Here is a 19,092-nt window from a genome sequence, read left to right on the forward strand (position 1 = left end):
CAAGATAAATTAGAAAATTAAATTGGAAAGTCATACTCATAGGAGCAGAATGGCTCCCCTCAGCCAACCTAGATTGATGAGGTTGAGTGGAACAGCACACCCAAAGAAAGAATATTCCAAAGGAGCAGTTGATCAGCTAAGGAAGCTACACAAAGGGGAATCACAGAGGGAAGCATCGAGAGAAACCCCAGAAGTCTCAGTCACTGAATACTAATAATTCATATCCCTTTGACAACTCAAAAATTCAGACATAATTTGACCTGCTCCTATTCAAGCCATTGAATCAAATCCCTTACTCCTTTGTTCTGATTCTATGCTCACTAAGAATATTGAAAGCATAGAGAATTTGAGCGGTCCTACGTCAAGGACATGTTCTTTTTATTGTAAATAATAAATAGGCATTCTAGTCTTACACATCAGTATCTTGATCCAAAAAGCCAGCCAATGGTGAATTTCCCAGGTTGCATGTCTGAGGGCCAAGACTCTGGATTGTAGCAAACTTACCAGGTTGCATGGAAATTATACTTTCCCCCACCAAAAACAATGGCCACAGCAAGATCTCTGGTTCCACATGGTCTTCCAGAACTTTGCCATTCCTCTATCAAGAAGTGGGAGTCTATTTCCTCTCCCCTTGAATCTGTGTGGGTTTTCATGACTGCTTTCATGAATAGAGTACAGCAAAAGTGATTCCAAGTGAAGGCTAGAAAGCAATAAGTCTTCCACCCGGCCCTTGCTCTTTTAGGATGTTTACCCTTTGAACCTGACACCATGTTACAAGAAAGTACAGGACAAGGCTATGAGTAGGTGTTCTGGAAGACAGCTTCAGCTACAATCCTAGCCACCAGCCAGCATCAACTGCCAGTCATGTGAGTGAAAGGTTCTTCACATGATTACAGCCCCAGGCTTCTAGTTCCCCAGCTGGTGGGAAGTGTAGAACAGATGGGCTGTCCTCACCTAGCCATAGCCAAATTGCAAATTCATGAGAAAAATAAATGCTGTTGTTGATTTTTTTTAGAAAAGAGCAATTTACCTCAATAAGAGATTGTTTTTTTGATCATTGTGTAATTATGAGGTTAAAGTTTGCCATTTGAGCTTATGAGGTTGAAGACTGTGGATTTGGATTTTTTGTTCATAGCAATAATGGTGATAGTGCTGATATGTGTCAATAACATTTTATAATAATATTAATAAAAATATATCATTTACTGAGAGTTCATGATTCATTAGTCTTCCTAATAAGGGTTTTTCTATGCATTTAATCATTCAAACCTCACAAATCCCCATGAAATAGGCACTAGTGTCTATATTTAAAGATAAGAAAACTAAGACTGGTCAGGAAACTGTCCAGGATTATCCGGTTACTAAGGGGGAAATTACCGGCCACCAAGTTCTGATTAAATGTATGGAAAAGAGGCCAGAAAATATTTATGGAGTATCCATATGCACTAGGTTATATTCTGGGTTCTTAGTTCTAATGAAAAAAACTAAGTCCTTGCTTCAGTGAGTTTATGTCTTAATGTGTGTGGATAGATAGTGAACCAGTTAGTATATACAATGTAACATCCAGCAGTACTAGCAAAGAACTGGGTAAGAGGATAGAGGGGTTTCCCATAGTGCGATGAGGGAAGGCCTGTCTGAGAAGTGACATTTAACCAGAGATTAGAAGAAAGCGTAGGGATGAGTAATGGAATTTCTAGGACTGTCCCTGTGACAGCCTCTTCATGGTACATTTTACCACTATTTTAGAACAGGGTGGTCCTTTGGTCATTGTATTTAAGAAGGTTATATAACATCTTCTTAAGGAAAGAGTAAGGACTTAGGAGGCAGACTTAGGTTCAAATTCTGGTTCTGCTCCCTTTTCCCCTCTAACTCATTTGGGCACCTTAACTTTATTTCCACATCTTAGTTTCCATGTCTATAAAACCTGGGCCATAATCTTTACCACTATGATAAATGAAAAGTGCATATGTAGAGTTCCTTTTGCAGTCTCTAGAACTGCATATAAATATGCAGCAGTCATGTGATAAATAATTATTTTTTATAATTTGTGTCTTATAGAGGCACATAGAGAAGTTCCTTTTGATGTTTTGTGGTCCAAATGTGAGGAGGGGAATTTGATGTAGAAAATTACCACTCACCTTCAGAGCTGAATAGAGAGTATGGTTAGAATGGAAACAGATCTAGGAAATAAGCTAAGAGAGAAGCCTGATGTGGATAAAGCTTGCTGTGGATAAAGTTTATTTACAAATCATATTAAGTGCAAGAATAAGAATTCAAGATGTGATTTGAGAGCAAGGTGGGCAGAGATTTATTTACTCAAATTTAGTATTAAGAAGAATCTCATAATGCACATTTAACTATAGAGGTTTACAGAATATCATGGAGAGGGAGAGAGAGCGATATATGTAAAATTTCTTGCCCTTTACTAGGCCCACAGCCCTGCTTCCAGCCGCATGTGCCTGCTATTTAAAATCGCTGTTCCTGGAGCCAGGTTGGCCCACTGCCTGATAATCAAGAAATCTGGGTCTAGTCCCAGTTTGCCTACTGACGTGCTGTATTGCTTTGAGCTAATCACTTTGCCTCTTTGCCTTTATGTATAGGAAAAAATATCTCTCCCTCACCCATCTCAAAGAAATCATTTTAGACTGAAAAAAAAATATTCAACATGCCCCGTGTGATGTAAGTGACCGATACATGTGGGACCATAATTTATTAAAGAGGCAAACCTCTTTAATTCACAACCATTATCTCACCAGCAATGAATTAGGCCAATAGCAGTTTGTAGTTTAGTAACAACTTTATCCTCAGGAGTGGGTAGCAAAACCACGTGTGGTTCAGTGTTTCGTCTTGGCTCAGTGGAAAGCACGTGGACTTTGGAATGGTGCACAACTGAGTTCCAATTTTCTAATTTTGCTGAACGTCAACTCTGTCTCCTTGTCAAGGATATGAGGATACTTACTCTTTCTGAGCCTAGGTTTCTAGATCTGTAAATACAGCAACACTATGTAAGTTATTGTGAGGAATTGATGAATATAAAGTTATTAGCATTATGTCTGCCACTGATATTCAAATGTGTTATTTTTTATTTATTTAAACAAATTGCTTAAGGTCTGAATTCTTGCAGCTTTCTGGAGGCCTCTAAGTTCTCAGTGATTTGGGGACTCACTGGGGCAAGGCTAGGAGACCCATTTCAGGAGGGCTTTTAAAATCAGTGCGAGGCTAGAGCTAAAAAGACATAGCTTGAAATAACCCACTGGATTTGCATCTGCCTGAGGAGCTGAGCCTGCTCCGTGCTGATCTTCTGTGGGGGATGGGTGGATAATAATTCTTGGCCTGAATTCCAGGATTAGTTTCAGTGGATGTGGAAGCTCCACAATTGTCCCAAGATGAGGGGGTGACTAAAGTACTCATTGTTGTGCTGTGGCTACTGCAGGGCGATGTGCAGGCTGAGGACATAGGTTAGCTATTTGGTAACTCCTTAGTCTGATTTGCAGTAATTTCCATCCCTTTCCAACACATCTGCATGTGCTGCAGGTTGTTGTAAGGCTTCCAGGCATCCCTAAGATTCATCTTTTTAATAAACAGAAAGGAAAAAATGGCCTATCTTTATTACCATCTAGGTCGGCTCTCTCAGAGCTGGAGGCTGCAGACCCCAAAGGCTTCTCAGTGCTGTCTCAGATGCTTCCATCCTTCATACGCTATTCCCATGGTAACCCTCAGGAAGGGAGAAGAGGGACAGCCATTAGAGGCTATTTTTAGACTTCTGGCCAGATGCTTTGACAAATCTATTGAGGGAAGGAAAATGTAGCAAATGTAGAAGAGGAGGATTTTTTTTTTTTTTGCCAAAGGCAATATCATTTAAAGTTCATATAAAACTGGAAAAGACCTTGAGAAATCATCCAACTTATCACTCTACCTCTAGAAAGACCTACTTCCAAATCATACAAAAATTGTACAGTAAAATCTTTTTTCAGAACATTTTACTGAATAGTGTATTTTAATTTATAACTATACTTTCTACCCTGAATTTGCCCCATATTCAGCCTCAGTCTCCTGAGCAAGGGAACTGGCAATGAGACTGAGTATAATGGCTCAAAACGTGGACTACACAACCCTGGGGGAACTGTTTGTTTAGAATATGCTACTAATGGCCCTGCCTAAGTTTGTGCAGTGTGTATCTTGCACAACTACCCCCACTGGTCCTTCTTTACTTATCATTTTGAAACGTAAACCAGGTTTAGTGCAACTCCTTCTATCCTTCCTAAAACCCTTTAGGGGTTTCTCGTTGCTGTAGGGTAAAAGACCCAAGATCATTAAAATACAACATGGCTATAAAATACAACATGGTATCAACCCTTCATACCTATCTAGAGTCACTTAATACCATTCCATTTTTCCCTTCTTGTGTATCAAGAAATAACATTTGAAGAGTGTCAAACATGTTATCTTCCTCCCATCTTAAGATCTTTGTACTTGCATGAAATGCTTTTCCTCCACTCTCTACCTAATTTCTTTGTTAACTTTTATTCTCCCAACTTAACCTCAAATATCAGAAAATATTTTCTTGATCTCTAAGACAAGAAGAGAAGGTACCCACGCACTATGCTTTCCTAATTACTTCTGCATTTCATTAATAGTACCTAGCAGCTTGTAATTCTATATTTATGTGATATTTTGGCTTTCTATTACTTTTAACTATGAACTCCATGTTGATATGGAATTATATTGTTTGCTCACCATTATACACCTAGTGCTTAATACTGTGTTTGGCAAACAAATTATTCTAATGACTGAATGAATGGGTAGCTGTTATTTTGTACTCTAATATTGCTATCTTTCTTTAGGTTTGGAAAGTTCTCTGTCTTTATGTCTTTGAGTGAACTTTCTACCCCAATCCCTCTCTCTCTACCTCCACTTTAAGGCCAATAACTCTTAGATTTACTTCTTTGAGGCTATTTTGTAGATCCTATAGGTGTGCTTCATTATTTCTTATTCTTTTTCTTTTGACTCCTCTGACTATGTAGTTTCAAATAGCCTGTCTTCAAGTTCACTAATTCCTTCTTCTGCTTGATCAATGATGCTGAGAGACCCTGATGTATTCTTCAGTTTGTCAATTGAATTGTTCAGCTTCAGAATTTCTGCTTGATTCTTTTATTAAATTATTTCAAGCTCTTGGTTAAATTTATCTGATAGAATTCTGAATTCCTTCTCTGTGTCATCTTAGATTTTGTTGAGCTTCCTCAAAACAGCTATTTTAAATGCTTTGTCTGACAGGTCACTCTGTAATTTGTCACTGGTAACTTATTTAATTCATTTGATGATATGTTTTCCTGGATGCTTTTAATGCTTATAGATGTCTGTCAATATGTGAGCATTGAAGAGTTAGGTATTTATTCCAGCCTTTGCAGCATGGGCTTGTTTGTACCCATCTATCTTGAGAAGGCTTTCCAAGTATTCAAAGGGAATTGAATGCTGTGATCTAAATCTTTGGTCACTGTACCCATATGTGCATTAGAGGGCATACCAATGCCAGGAATGCTGTGACTCTTGCAAACTTTGCTTCTTAACCCTTGCTATGTGTCTCTTGGCTGAATTCTTTCTTTTAAGTTAAACAAGAAATGAGGACTCCTACACTTCCTGGTAACAGAAATAAACCCAACTACACAAGGTAAACTAATTTTGAACAAAGGGACTAAGAAGATGCAATGGGAAATGGTGTTGGGAAAACTGAATATCTACATGCAAAAGAATGAAATTGGACCCTTATCCTATACCACATATTCAAAATGGATTAAAGATCTAAGTATATGACCCCAAACTATAAAACTCCTAGAAAACATAGGTGAAAACTCCTTGATATCACCCCTGGCAAGAATTTTTTTAAGTTTTGGATATTTTCCCCAAAACACAGGTAATGCAAGGAAAAATAAACAAGTGGGAGCACGCAAAACTAAAATGCTTCTGTACAGCAAATAAGATTATCAATGAAATGAAAATGCAGTTAATTGATCAGAGGAAAATATTCGTGAGCCATATATAGATAAGGGGTTAATATCCCAAGTATTTAGGAACACAAATAACTAACTCAATAGCAAAAACCAAATAATCCAATTTAAAAAATGAACAGATGACCAGAATAGATATTTCTCCGAAGAAGACATACAAATAGCCAAGAGAGATATATAAAAGTGCTCAACATCAATAATATGGAAACCACAATGGGAAGTGCAAATCAAAACAGTGAGATATCACCTTACACTTCTTAGGATGGCTGCTATTAAAAAGACAAGAAACAGCAAGTGTTGCACATGTGTGAAGAAAAGGGAACAATCATACACTGTTGGTGGGAAGTAGATTACTGTAGCCATTATGAACATTATGAATATTCCTAAAGAAATGAAAAACAGAACTATCATATAACCCAACAATCCTCATTCTGGGTATATACTCAAAGGAAATGAAATTACCAACTCTTAAAGACACCTGCACTCTCATGCTTATGTTTATTGCATCATTATTTACAATTGCCAAGATATAGGTACAACCTAAGTATCCTTTAATGGATAAATTAATAAAGAAATTGTGGTATATATAAACAATGAATACGATTCAGCCTTAAAAATGAAACAGATATTGCTATTTGTGATAACATAGATGAACCTAGGGAATATTATGCTAAGTGAAATAAGCCAGGCAGAGAAAGAAAAATACTGCGTGATCTCGTTTATATGTGGAATCTGAAAAACAAACAAAAGCAATCTCAAATACATAGGAACAGTTGAATGGTGGCTGTTAGTGGTGGGGGATGGAAGGGAAGAAGGGGGATATAATAGGGAGATGTTCTATGTGCCACATGAGGATTATAGTTAATAATATTATATTACATATTCAAAATTTGCTAAAAGAATAGGTTTTAGGCAATTTTACCGCAAAAATGTAGCTATGTGGAATAATGTATGTATTAATTTGCTTGACTGCAGTAATTATTTAACTCTGTATATCAAAACATTATATTATACACCTTAAGTATGTACAACTTAAAAATATATAATATGTTTCCAAATTCCAAGAAGCTTTTTAAAATGTAGATTCTGAGTCAGTAGATCTGGGGCGAGGCCTGTGATTCTGCATGTCCAATCTTTATCTAACTAGCTCTAGAACTTGGCTCTACATTAGAATCACATTAGAACTTAAAAAAAAATTGCAATTCAGAGGCCCCAGCCTGGTGATTCTTATTTAATTGGTATGGGCTTGGTCTAGGATTTGGAGATTTTCAAAGGATCCCCAGTTTATTCTAACATTCAACATTCTTGAGATCCACTGATTCCAGGCAAAGCTCATCCTCAACAACAGGTAAAGGGATATCCATGTGATCTCATACATTAGATGACATCCAACGTGGCTACCCGATAGGGGTCATCTTATTAGTATTTTGAAAATGCATGTGTCTTAGAGACACAGAAAGGTGGTATACATGGTTTGTTCTATAAGATTCAGAGAGAATCTTACATGAGTTGGTTAACATGGCAGCAAGTTGGTCCAATCTTAAATTTTTCCACTTTGACACATCTGGGAAAAGTATTTCAGAACAAATAATTCAGAAGTAAATGTACCTATTCGAAGTAGTGGATCATTTTGGTAGAAAACTAATGCAGTAATAGTAGTCTTTGTATTCAGAGGAAAAATGCATAATTACACAGATAATATAATAAGAAAAAAGAGAACTTCGGTGCTCTTCTGAAAGCTGCAGCATCTGCAGTGAGTTTCTGTGCCTTGCTTGCTGATACCTGTTAATATGAAGAGGAGGTATAGACCCTTGGGCACTTGGTTGCTCCCTCTAAAGATCAGTGTTTCTAAATCAAAACATAGTAATAATTTCCTTTATGTCATCAATTACACTGATTTTTTCCACTGACTTATATTTGTTTTTTTAATCTTAAAAATTCCACGATGTGAAGTGCAATATTTTTCTCTGCTCAACTTAGAATAGTAGTGTGTCACAAGTCCTACACTTGTGTTTTTTTTTCACATTTTCTCTTACTTAATCTTCTCAGCAAACTTGTTAGGTAGCTATTGTTATTATCACATTCTCATCACTGTCATCACAGATGAGAACACTGAGACAATAGTTCATTAGCTTCCCAAAGATACACAGGTGGCCAGTGGCAGAGCTCAGGTATATCTGATTTTCAAGCTTATCCTCTCCTTTTTTAAAATTTTAATTTTAATTTTAAGTTCTGGGGAACATGTGCAGGATGTGCAAGTTTGTTATGTAGGTAAATGTGTGCCATGGTGGTTTGCTGCACCTATCCACCCATCACCTAGGTATTAAGCCTCGCATGCATTTTCTATTTTTCCTAATGCTCTCACTCTCCCCACCTCACCCTCTGACAGGCCCCAGTGTGTGTTGTTCTCTTCCCTGTGTCCACATCCTCTCTTTGTTCACTTCCCACTTATAAGTGAGAAGATGTGGTGTTTGGTTTTCTGTTCTCATGTTAGTTTGCTGAGGATAACGGCTTTCAGCTCCATTCATGTCCCTGCAAAGAACATGATCTCATTCATTTTCATGACTGCATAGTATTCCATGGTGCATATGTACCACATTTTCTTTATCCGGGCTATCATTCACGGGCATTTTGGTTGATTTCACGTCTTTGCTATTGTCAATAGTGCTGCTATGCTCTCTTTATCTTAGTTGTAGTAAATTTGCAGTATGTGCCAAATCCAGTCTTCAGAAATATTGGTCCACATGATCTTTAAAAGCATTTACAGTTAGGCATCACCATTTATAAATCAGAAAATTTCCTATAAAAATCCAGATTTTAAGTTGCTACGTAAAATAATTATGTGTAACCACACTGAAGTCACCTGCCTGCAAGACAACAATTGCCTAATCTGTGTAACATTTCTCTATTTAGATGCTATTCTTAGCATTTCCCTAGTATTTCTTTTACTCCTGACCTGCTTCAGCATTTATGATACCAACTTAATTCCTCCAGGCCTCTGGGTTTTCAACTTAACCTCTACACTCTATTGTGGAAAGAAATGATTCTTGCATCTTTATTACATTTTATCATCAGAAAAATTCTCTCTCCATAAGGTGGAGAACTTTGTATTGGCATCTTTATGACATTGAACCTTTGGAGTGTTACCTGTCCACGTGCATCTTGGCAGAGTGGTCTGATTTCTCTGCGTACAAAGTGGTGGAGGTTAGTGTCCTACTGGCTTGCTTTAGTATTTAGCTGTCCAGAATGGTTTCCAAAGTTTTGACTCCACAGGGGTTTTGCAAATTGTGTGGTTGTGCTTTAAAAAATTACAGCTTTGTGAAGACTCATGTATCCCATGGTCTCATGGTATAGTTGTGTTCTGTTCAGTTTCCTTCAACTAAGACTGTGATAAGGAAGAAGAGAAGCTTTCTTATTGATTTCAGTACCTACCTGGTATGGCTCTTCAGCACACATTAGCAGTGCTGGCCAGGGTTTCCTGGGAAAGCAGTCACTGACATCTGAAATGTAGAAAAAGATTCTCACACAGGACAGTCTTCATCTTGTTTTTGAGTGTTGCTTGCCTCCCCTCCAGTGTGTCTGATTCCTTGTTTCCTTTTTATGCCTGGCTTTGACCCACCACTCACTTTGGTGTTGATTTCTGTGCACTCCCATTCTGGAACATTTAATTGTTTTATTTCTTGTGGCATAACTTTCTCACTACATGTGGGAGCCCTGTCACTCAACAGAGCCCTTGCACATATGTCATGCTACTTAAAACTTAGAAAAATCCCATGATAATAGGTCTTGTTATTCCCAGGAAATTGTTGCCCCAAAGACTGTACAATTGGATAAATTGATAAGTAGAAGAATTTTAACTGGCTAAATGCATTATAACCTTGACTATTCTGTGGCATAAACTTTAGGTTTATGAAACAGATATCGTAATTGAGCAATGTCTATGAAACATAAGAAAAATATTTCAGTCATTTACTATTTTACCACATGGCATCCCATGTGAGATGTGATCAACTTTAAGATTAGCTATTACTTGATATGCTACTGAGAAAAGGAAAAAAATTAAATTATGTAATATATTATATTGATTGCTATCTGTATCCCAATTACAGATGTTGTAACTTAAAAAGGTAAGTCTTTGAATTGACAAATGTGTTCATTCAATTTTATTGCATGGCTTTAACGCAATTTTTAATTGTCTTAAAATCATAAGACACAAGAAAGTAAAAGCAAACATTCTTACAACTCAATGTTTTCCCTTCAGCAACCATCAACTGATCTAGAATTTGACCGTGTAGTGATTTATACCACCTGCCTTCGTGTGGTCCGGACAACCTTTGAAAGATGTGAACTGGTTAGAAAGATTTTCCAAAACCATCGCGTAAAATTTGAAGAGAAAAACATAGCCCTGAATGGTGAATATGGAAAAGAGTTAGACGAACGATGCCGACGAGTTTCTGAAGCTCCTTCCCTCCCTGTTGTGTTCATTGATGGCCATTACCTTGGGGTAAGTAAGCTGCCCAGGAAAGTCTTTTTCATAGAACCCAACCAGGGCTGATAGAAATCTATAACCATCTATACATTTGCAGCGTAACTACTGGAACACTTGCTGGTTTTTTTGGAGCTCAAACCAAAGGGATTGGAGCACTTATTTCTGTCCCAGACAATGAGCTGCCACAGTGCTCCTCCCTGAAGAAGTACAGTGAGATAAAATCAACAAGAAACTGCATTTTTGAATAGAAATAAATGTTTAAAAATATTCAGTTAACTTCAGTTTTGCACTGTGAAGCTTGGCATGTGGGATAAAGACTGTATTTTTAGTGTAGGCAAGAAAAATGGATATTTATAAGATATATATTTATAAATTCTCATATACAGCATTATCAATCAGTTTCCTACTAATGAACCTAAGATGATAGTCCTGAAATGAAATCAATAAGAAATGGGGCCTGGAGCCAGAATTTTATCTGCTTGTTTAAAATTATTTTTAACTTGGGTACTGCAGCAGTTGGAGACATAAATTCAGGCTTACGGTAAGCAGAGAGAACTCCCAGAGCAGCAGCAGAACATGCCTGTTTCATTGCTCTTTGAATAATATTGTTAGTGTAGTTAACTCCCATTGATCTGTGAACATCCTGTGGAAGAAGCCCACAGACAGGGCTCCAGAGAGTACACTTTGGAAAAGGTGAGAGCAAAGAGCCAAGGGACACCAGCAACCAGTTTAGGAGCTGACTACATGATCACTTATCACAGAACAGAGACCGTCGAACCACAGATGGATACTTGGATCTTGGTTTCATTTAGCATCTGCTCTTAACCTTCATTTTTCAGAGGAGGTTATAAAAATCTAGAACAGGAGATGCTCACATTTTGTTTCAGGGAATCAATCTGTGTTTTAATACCCTGTCATTTTATGAAAAGATAAATGTAGAGAAGCTGTGATTCAATAGCTATGACACTATGTGATTGTACTTTTAACCAGAGCTGGACACACATTACATTCTGTAGTAGAGGAATGCTGATTTGAAGTATTGATCCTCTTTTTGTTGCATTTCAACATATATCCTTAGGTTGCAGAAAATGACAATAGCAGTAACAATCATGGTAAAAAAATAAATAATAATAGTAATAATAACACTCTACTGCACTCACAGCTTTGCATCTGTCATTTCATGTAATCCTCAGGGTAGTCTTAGAAATAAACTTTCATATGGCATACTGGTTAAGAGCAAGCACTGGGGTCAGACAGACTTGTTTTAAATTCCTGTCCTGACACTTACCATGTGACTCTGTGCTTTGGTTTTCTCATTTGTAAAATGGGAATAAGAATACAACTTATCCCATAGGCTGATTGTGAGAATATTGAGCTAATACATATTAAGCACTTGGTTCCTGTACCTGGAACAAAGTATGTTTTTAGGAAATATGAACAATTATCCCTGTTTTGCAAAAGAAAACATTAATTCCTTTGCTCCAAGTGACAGAGCTGGCTAAGTGGCAAGGCCAGCAATCAAAGTTATGTCTGTCTGACTCCCCAAACCCTTGCTCTTTGGCACATCACCTCAAGGAAAGGGATCTTTGCCTGTTTGCTGGTATAGTTTTAGGACCACAAACAGGTCTTAATGCAAAGTAAGTTTTCAAATGAACATATGTTGAATGGATGGATGAATTATGCTATATTGCCTCATCATATTCTTTTGTTCTCTCTCTAAGACATTCTTTCACAAAGAAGGGATCTGATAAACTCAACCACACTAGGGAGAAAATGTAACTTGTAAGGGCTATGAACATTTCCCTTTTTTAACTTGGGAAAATGTCTGACAATGTAAGACATTTCCCATTGTGGAATTTCAACTCCTGTGCAACTGCACAGTTAAAATTAGTGGGCAACTGCCTTCAATGCACAGGTATAAAGTTGGCTGTTCTTATTCGGAAGCCAAACTGCTTATCTTCTCACTACTTCTGAGACAATATAAGAGGCTATAATGCCCGTCCTGCTATTTGCCCTATAGTTTGAGGAATCTCACAGGAAGGGTGAAACAGACAAATGAGATAGGGGGCATGCTTCTTTCCCAGTTGCTTTTTTCTGTGATCACTTTATTTATACACATGGTAGCCTAGAGGAGGAACTATCATACAGGTGCTACCTTGCTGTTTCTTTAATTTAAGCTAATGCTCTGAACCTAGAGAGAGTCCAGAAACAGATATTCCCCCTTCTTTTTTGCTTATAAAAGGAAAATTACTTCTAAATCTTTAATTCAAAATGGCAAACACTCCAAAACAACGAATTCTCCTCCTATTAAAATAGCCTGTTTATTTAAATTGCAATGCACGATTGTAAATGGAATACATTGCTTGAATTATAGGGCCCTTTTCCTGCACTATGCATGCATCTGAAATGGAAGGATGCCCTCTGCTGGGTTGGACACCTGGTGAAATGTAATTTTAAGGGAGGAAAAGAAGCTGATGTTGGTAATTTCCTTAACATCTGTGGTGTTTTAAACAGACACATGAAACCATTTGATTTAGTTTAAATTTAGATGGGTGAGAAAAATCAAGATTTGTGAATCATCTGCACAATACAATTTTTTTATAGGAAGGAGAGAGAAAAATAGAAAAACAGACAGAAACAGCCAGAGAATGAGGTAGACAGAGGCAGAAAGTGAGGCATCTGGAGGCAGACTGGGGGAGATGGGACGGAGAACAAGAGAACATTTTGTAGCTCCCTTTGCATTACTGTCAGTGTTACCCAATCCAGGGTGGGGGGTGCCAGAGAAATTTAGTTATCTTCATCGAAGTGAAAATAACAGAGTTTAATGGACAAGAAGAATTACAAGGACACTAAGCTCTTTTTTTCCTGATGACTCTCTTCCCCAACCAAACTAAAAAATGAAGATGGAAGCAATGAAACAGTCAAGGAAAAAAAAATACTTTAGAAGGTAAATCTGCACTGCCCTTGGATACTCCACAGTGGGGGGCAGGGGAGCAAATTCAGTTTGGAACTTGCTTAAGGCAACTGTTTCATTATTTTGCATCAGAAATTTTTTTTTACACAAAACAAGATTGTGTTCAAGTAGTTACAACATAAATTATCTTAGAAATGCCAGTGGGAAATAAATTAGAAATAGTGGCCTGTCTGGACCAATCATGAGCCTCCACAGTAGAAATCCACAAAACCCACATTGGAATGGAGCTATAAAATGTAGAATGAACCTAAGTGGGGTCTCTGGTGACAGAGAGAGGAATAGAAGGGCTATTGATAAAAATAGATTTCTTAACTACCTGATATTGAGGTGGGACTGATTGATAATTCTATATATGTTTAAAGTACTGCATTATTCTATTTAAGAGTAAAGACCACTAGTATTGAGCGTAATTCCTTTGCTGCAAGTGACACAGCTAGGTTACAAACTAGAAACACAAACTGTAGGTATATTTCTAAGGAACACTCACAAAATTTCTCAGCAGACATGGGTGCCCAAGGAAGCTTCTGCCATAGTCAAGAAGGAGTTGGCTCCAGAAATCCACTGCATTTGTTGTGATTCACCTGTTGCTCTGCAGCCTCACCAGCATTTGGTGTTGTGAGTCTTCTGGATATTAGCCATTCTAATAGATGTGTAGAGATATCTCATTGTTGCTTTAATTTGCCTTTCCCTAATGACATATGATGTGGAACATCTTTTTAATATGCTTATTGGTCATCTGCATATCTTATTTGGTTAGGTGTCTGTTAAGGTCTTTGGCTCATGTTTAAGTCAAGTTTTTTGTTTTCTTATTGTTGAGGTTTAAGAGTTCTTTGTATATTTTGGATGACAGCTCCTTACTAGATATGTCTTTTGCAGGTATTTTCTTAAGTCTGTGGCTTGTCTTTTCGTTCTCTTGACAATGTCTCTTAAGAGCAAAAATTTTTTAAGATTAATGAAGTTCACTTTGTCACCTTATGCATAATTTCTTTCATGCATCCTACTTTTGATGTTGTATCTAACAAATCATCACCAAACCCTAGATCATCTAGATTTGCTCCTAGTTATCTTCTAGGAGTGTTATAGTTAACATGTGACATTTAAGTCTTTATATTGAGTTCATTTTTGTGAAGGAATAATGTTTGTGTCTAGATTAATTTTATTTTGCATATGGATGCTCAGTTGTTCTAGGCCCCTTTGTTGAAAAGACTATCTTTTCTTTATTGAAATGCCTTTGCTGTGTTGTCAAAGATGAGTTGACTATGTTTATATGGATCTATTTCTGGGTTCTATACTGTTTCTATAAATCTATACTGTTCTATTGGCCATTTATCTATTCTTTTACTAACTTAATCCAAATTTTTTGGAAATATTTCTTTTATATCTCACTTAATATGCTCAATATTTGTCTTTTTGAGTATATAGGATATAGGTATAACAACCGTTTCAACCTACTTATCTGACAATTGTATCTGTGTCAGTTCTAGTTGATTTCAATTGATTGATATTTTTCTTCATTTTTAGTCATGTTTTTCTATTTTTATGCCTACTTGGTAATTTTTGTTTAGATGTCACATATTGTGAATTTTACCTTGTTAGGTAAAAATATTCATTGTTGGGATAATTTTTTATACCTATACATATTCTTCAGCTTTTTGCTGAGATACAGTTAAGTTTCTTAGAAAGAGTTTGAGCCTTTGGGTTTTGTTTCTTAAGGTTTTCTAGTCAGGGCCAGAATAGTGTTTGGTCTAAAGCTAACTGTTTCCAGTACTGATCAAGATCTTGTGAGCACTTTACTCAATGCCCCATGAATTATGAGGTTTTCCAGTCTTACTGTTGGGAACAGGTACTATTTTAGGTCCTTTTCCTAGATAATGTCTCCTTTAATTCTTTCAGATAGTTATTTTGCTTGCCTTGAGTGGTTTTCTTAGATGAAGATACTGATCAGCACTCTGCTGAGCAGCCAGTCTGGGCCCTCTACTTATATCCAGAGTTCTCAGTGAAGCTCTTTACTCTCTAAAACTCTATCCTGTTAACTCTAGCCATCTTGGTCTTCCGACTCTCAAGTCTGTTTCCTCAATTCAGGAAGTACCCCAGCCCTCCTGTACACAGCTTGGAAAACGTGTCATGGCAGTCAGCTTGGGTAGCCATAGAGCTCATCATCTATTTTCTACATCTCTGAGATCATCATTCATTATTGTCTGATGTCCAATATTATAAAATCAAAGGTTAAAACATTATTATTGTTTATCAAAATAAAACAATTGGTCTACTTTCTGGCAAAATAACAAAGTAAAATAAAATTTTTAGGCTAGATGACTATAACAGTTATAAATTACATTCATTTCTGAGTAATAATGGTTCTTTTCCACACACACACACTAAACAACAATGAAACTTAAATCTTTAAAATCTAGGAGGTTTGTATTTTTTTCTCATATGCAAAATGTACAGAAAAGTGCACTGGAGAGAGTATAAAGTTTTATGATACAATCTAGGACCACTTTCTAATTTTCAGTTCTGCCATTCTTAGCACAGGTCTTCCATCCTCAAGTTCTCCTAATAGTATAAGGTAGTTACTGAAACTCTTGCCATCATACCTGTATTCCATTCAGAAATGGAATAAAAAAGAAAAGCAAAAAAGTACCTCCTTCTTAAAAGAAGGAAGTTCCTTTTCAAAGAGTTTTTTTTTATTTTTTCAGGAATCTCACCCAACTTCCACTTGCATTTTATTGTTAACCTTTAGTAGCAAAGAAGGATAGGAATATAATATTCTAGATGTCACATTGATAGGCTTAAAAAATAAGGTATTTCTTAGTACTGCATAGAAAAGAGAGATCATAGATATTGGGTAGGCAGTTAGTGTCTGCCAAGGTGATCAAAGCTCATTTTGACTAGAACAATTCTTCAAGCTGTATGTGTTTCTCATTAGTTATTTTCATGTAGTCAATGATTCCCTAGTATCTACTCTGTTAATAAGGGCTGCAGAGATGGTGGGGAGCCTTTGGTAAATTTGTTGTTTCTGTATGGGAGTGTTATTATAATTATATAAAATAATAACTAGTGTCATAAACCATTAACAGAAAGTTAAGTGCTTTGTTATGTTTTGAAAGTGTTCTGTTTTAAACCATGTGAAAGTATTTAACATCTGCATGTGAGAAGTAATTTTTAAATTTTGGGGTCATGGGAGTCTTTGAATATCTGCTGAAAGATGTTGATATTTTTGTTTTTGTCTGTTTTCACACTGCTATAAAGAACTACCTGAGACTGGGTAATTTATGAAGAAAAGAGGTTTAATTGACTCACAGTCCTGCAGGCTTAACAGGAAGCACAGTTGGAAGACCTCTGTAATGTAAGCTGCTGTTTCTGAAAGCATACAGTCATATGCATTCACAAAGAGAACTTACAATCATGGCAGAAGGTGAAGGGAAAGCAAGCATGTCTTTACAATGGTGGAGCACGGGAGAGAGAGGGATCGAGAGAGCAAAGTGGGGAAATGCCACACACTTCCAAACAACCAGATCTCGTGAGAACCTGCTATCATGAGAACAACAACGGGGAAGTCTGCCTCCATGATTCAATCACCTCCCATCAGGTCCCTCCCTGGCACACAGGCATTACAATTTGAGATGAGATTTGGGTGGGGATACAGGGCCAAACCATATCATTACATCCCTGGACTCTCCCAAATCTCATGTCCTTCTCACATTTTAAAACACAGTCATGCCTTCCCAACCGTCCCCCACAGTCTTAACTCATTCCTGCATTAACCCAAAAGTCTAAGTTCAAAGTCTCATTTGAGACAAGACAACTCCCTTCAATCTATGAGCCTGTAAAATCAAAAACAAGTTAGTTACTTCTAAGATACAGGGATCAGATAAAGGCTCCCATTCAAAAAGGGAAAATTGGCCAAAACCAAGGGACTACAGGCCACATGCAAGTCCAAAACCCAGCAGGGCAGTTGTTAAATCTTAAAGCTCCAAAATAATCTCCTGTGACTCCATGTCTCACATCCAGGGTATGCTAATGCAAGGGGTGGGCTCCCAATGCCTTGGGCAGTTCTGCCTCTGTGGCTCTGCAGAGTACAGTCCCAGAAGCTGCTTTCATGGGCTGGTATTGAGTGTCCGCAGCTTTTCCAGACACATGGTACAAGCTGTCAGTGGATCTATCATTCTGGGGTCTGGAGAACGATGGCCTTCTTCTCATAGCTCCACTGGGCAGTGCTACAGTGGAGCTATGAGGGGGCTCCAACCTCACATTTCCCCTCAGCACTGTTCTAGTAAAGGTTCTCCATGAGGACTCTACCCCTCTGGCTGACTTCTACCTGGACATCCAGGCGTTTCCTTATATCCTCTGAAATCTAAGAGGAGGTTCCCAAACCTGAATTTTTCCTTCTGCATACTTGCAGGCCCAACACCATGTGGAAGCTGCCAAGGCTTGGGGCTTGCACCCTCTGAAGCCATGTCCCAAGCTATATTTTGTCCCCTTTTAGCCAAAGCTGGAGCTGGAGTTGCTGGGATGTAGAGCAACATGTCCCAAGGCTGTACAGAGCAGTGGGGCCCTGGGGATGGCCCATGAAATTATTTTTTCCTCCTAGGCCTCTGGGTCTGTGATGGGAGGGACTGCTCTGACGGTCTCTGAAATGCCCTGGAGACATTTTCCTCATTGTCTTGGCTATTAACATTCAGGTCCTTTTTACGTATGCAAATTTCTTCAGCCAGCAGCTTGAATTTCTCCGCAGAAAATCAGTTTTTCTTTTCTACCACATGGTCAGGCTGCAATTTTTCCAAATTGTTATGCTCTTCTTCCCTTTTAAACATAAGTTCCAATTTCAGACAATCTCTTCGTGAATGCATATGACTGTATGCTTTCAGAAACAGCTGGGTTACATCTTAAATGCTTTGCTGCTTAGAAATTTCTTCTGCCCGGATACCCTAAATCATCAATTTCTAGTTAAAAGTTCTGCAAATCTCCAGGGCAGGGGAAAGATGCCACCAGTCTCTTTGCTATAGAGTGACCTTTACTCCAGTTCCCAAAAAATTCCTCAAGTTCATTTGAGACCACTTCAGCCTGGACATCATTGTCCATATCACTATCAACATTTTGGTCAAGTCCATTCAACAAGTTTCTAGGAAGTTCCAAACTTTCCCATATCTTTCTCTCTTCTTCTGAGCCCTCCAAACTGTTCCAAAGTCTGCCCATTACCCAGTTCCAAAGTACCTTCCACATTTTTATATATGTTTATAGCAATGCTCCACTACCAGTACCAATTTCCTGTATTAGTTCATTTTCACACTGCTATAAAGAACTACCTGAGACTGGGTAATTTGTGAAAAACAGAGGTTTAATTGACTCACATTTCCACAGGCTTAACAGGAAGCATGGTTGGAAGACCTTAGGAAACTAATAATCGTGGCAGAAGGTGAAGGGAAAGCAAGCATGTCTTTACCATGGCAGAGCAGGAGAGAGAGTGAGTGAGTGAAGGGAAAAGTTCCACCCACGTTCAAAAAACCAGATCTCAGGAGAACTCACTCACTGTCATGAGAACAACAAGGGGAAAATACACTCCCGTGATTCAATCACCTCCCACCAGGTCCCTCCCATGACCCATGGGAATTACAATTTGA

The 19,092-nt window shown here is 37.8% G+C and overlaps 1 protein-coding gene across 1 annotated transcript in view; it reads left to right on the top strand.

Moving 5' to 3' along the window:
• GRXCR1 (glutaredoxin and cysteine rich domain containing 1) overlaps nt 1-19,092 on the top strand; it is a 137,946-nt gene that overhangs the window by 59,913 nt on the left and 58,941 nt on the right. The window contains exon 2 of the mRNA NM_001080476.3: nt 10,267-10,509. Coding sequence (NP_001073945.1) covers nt 10,267-10,509 — 243 coding nt within the window. The remainder of the gene's footprint in view (nt 1-10,266; nt 10,510-19,092) is intronic.

Source organism: Homo sapiens, chromosome 4, assembly GCF_000001405.40.
Source record: "Homo sapiens chromosome 4, GRCh38.p14 Primary Assembly".
Classification (NCBI taxonomy): Eukaryota; Metazoa; Chordata; class Mammalia; order Primates; family Hominidae; genus Homo; species Homo sapiens.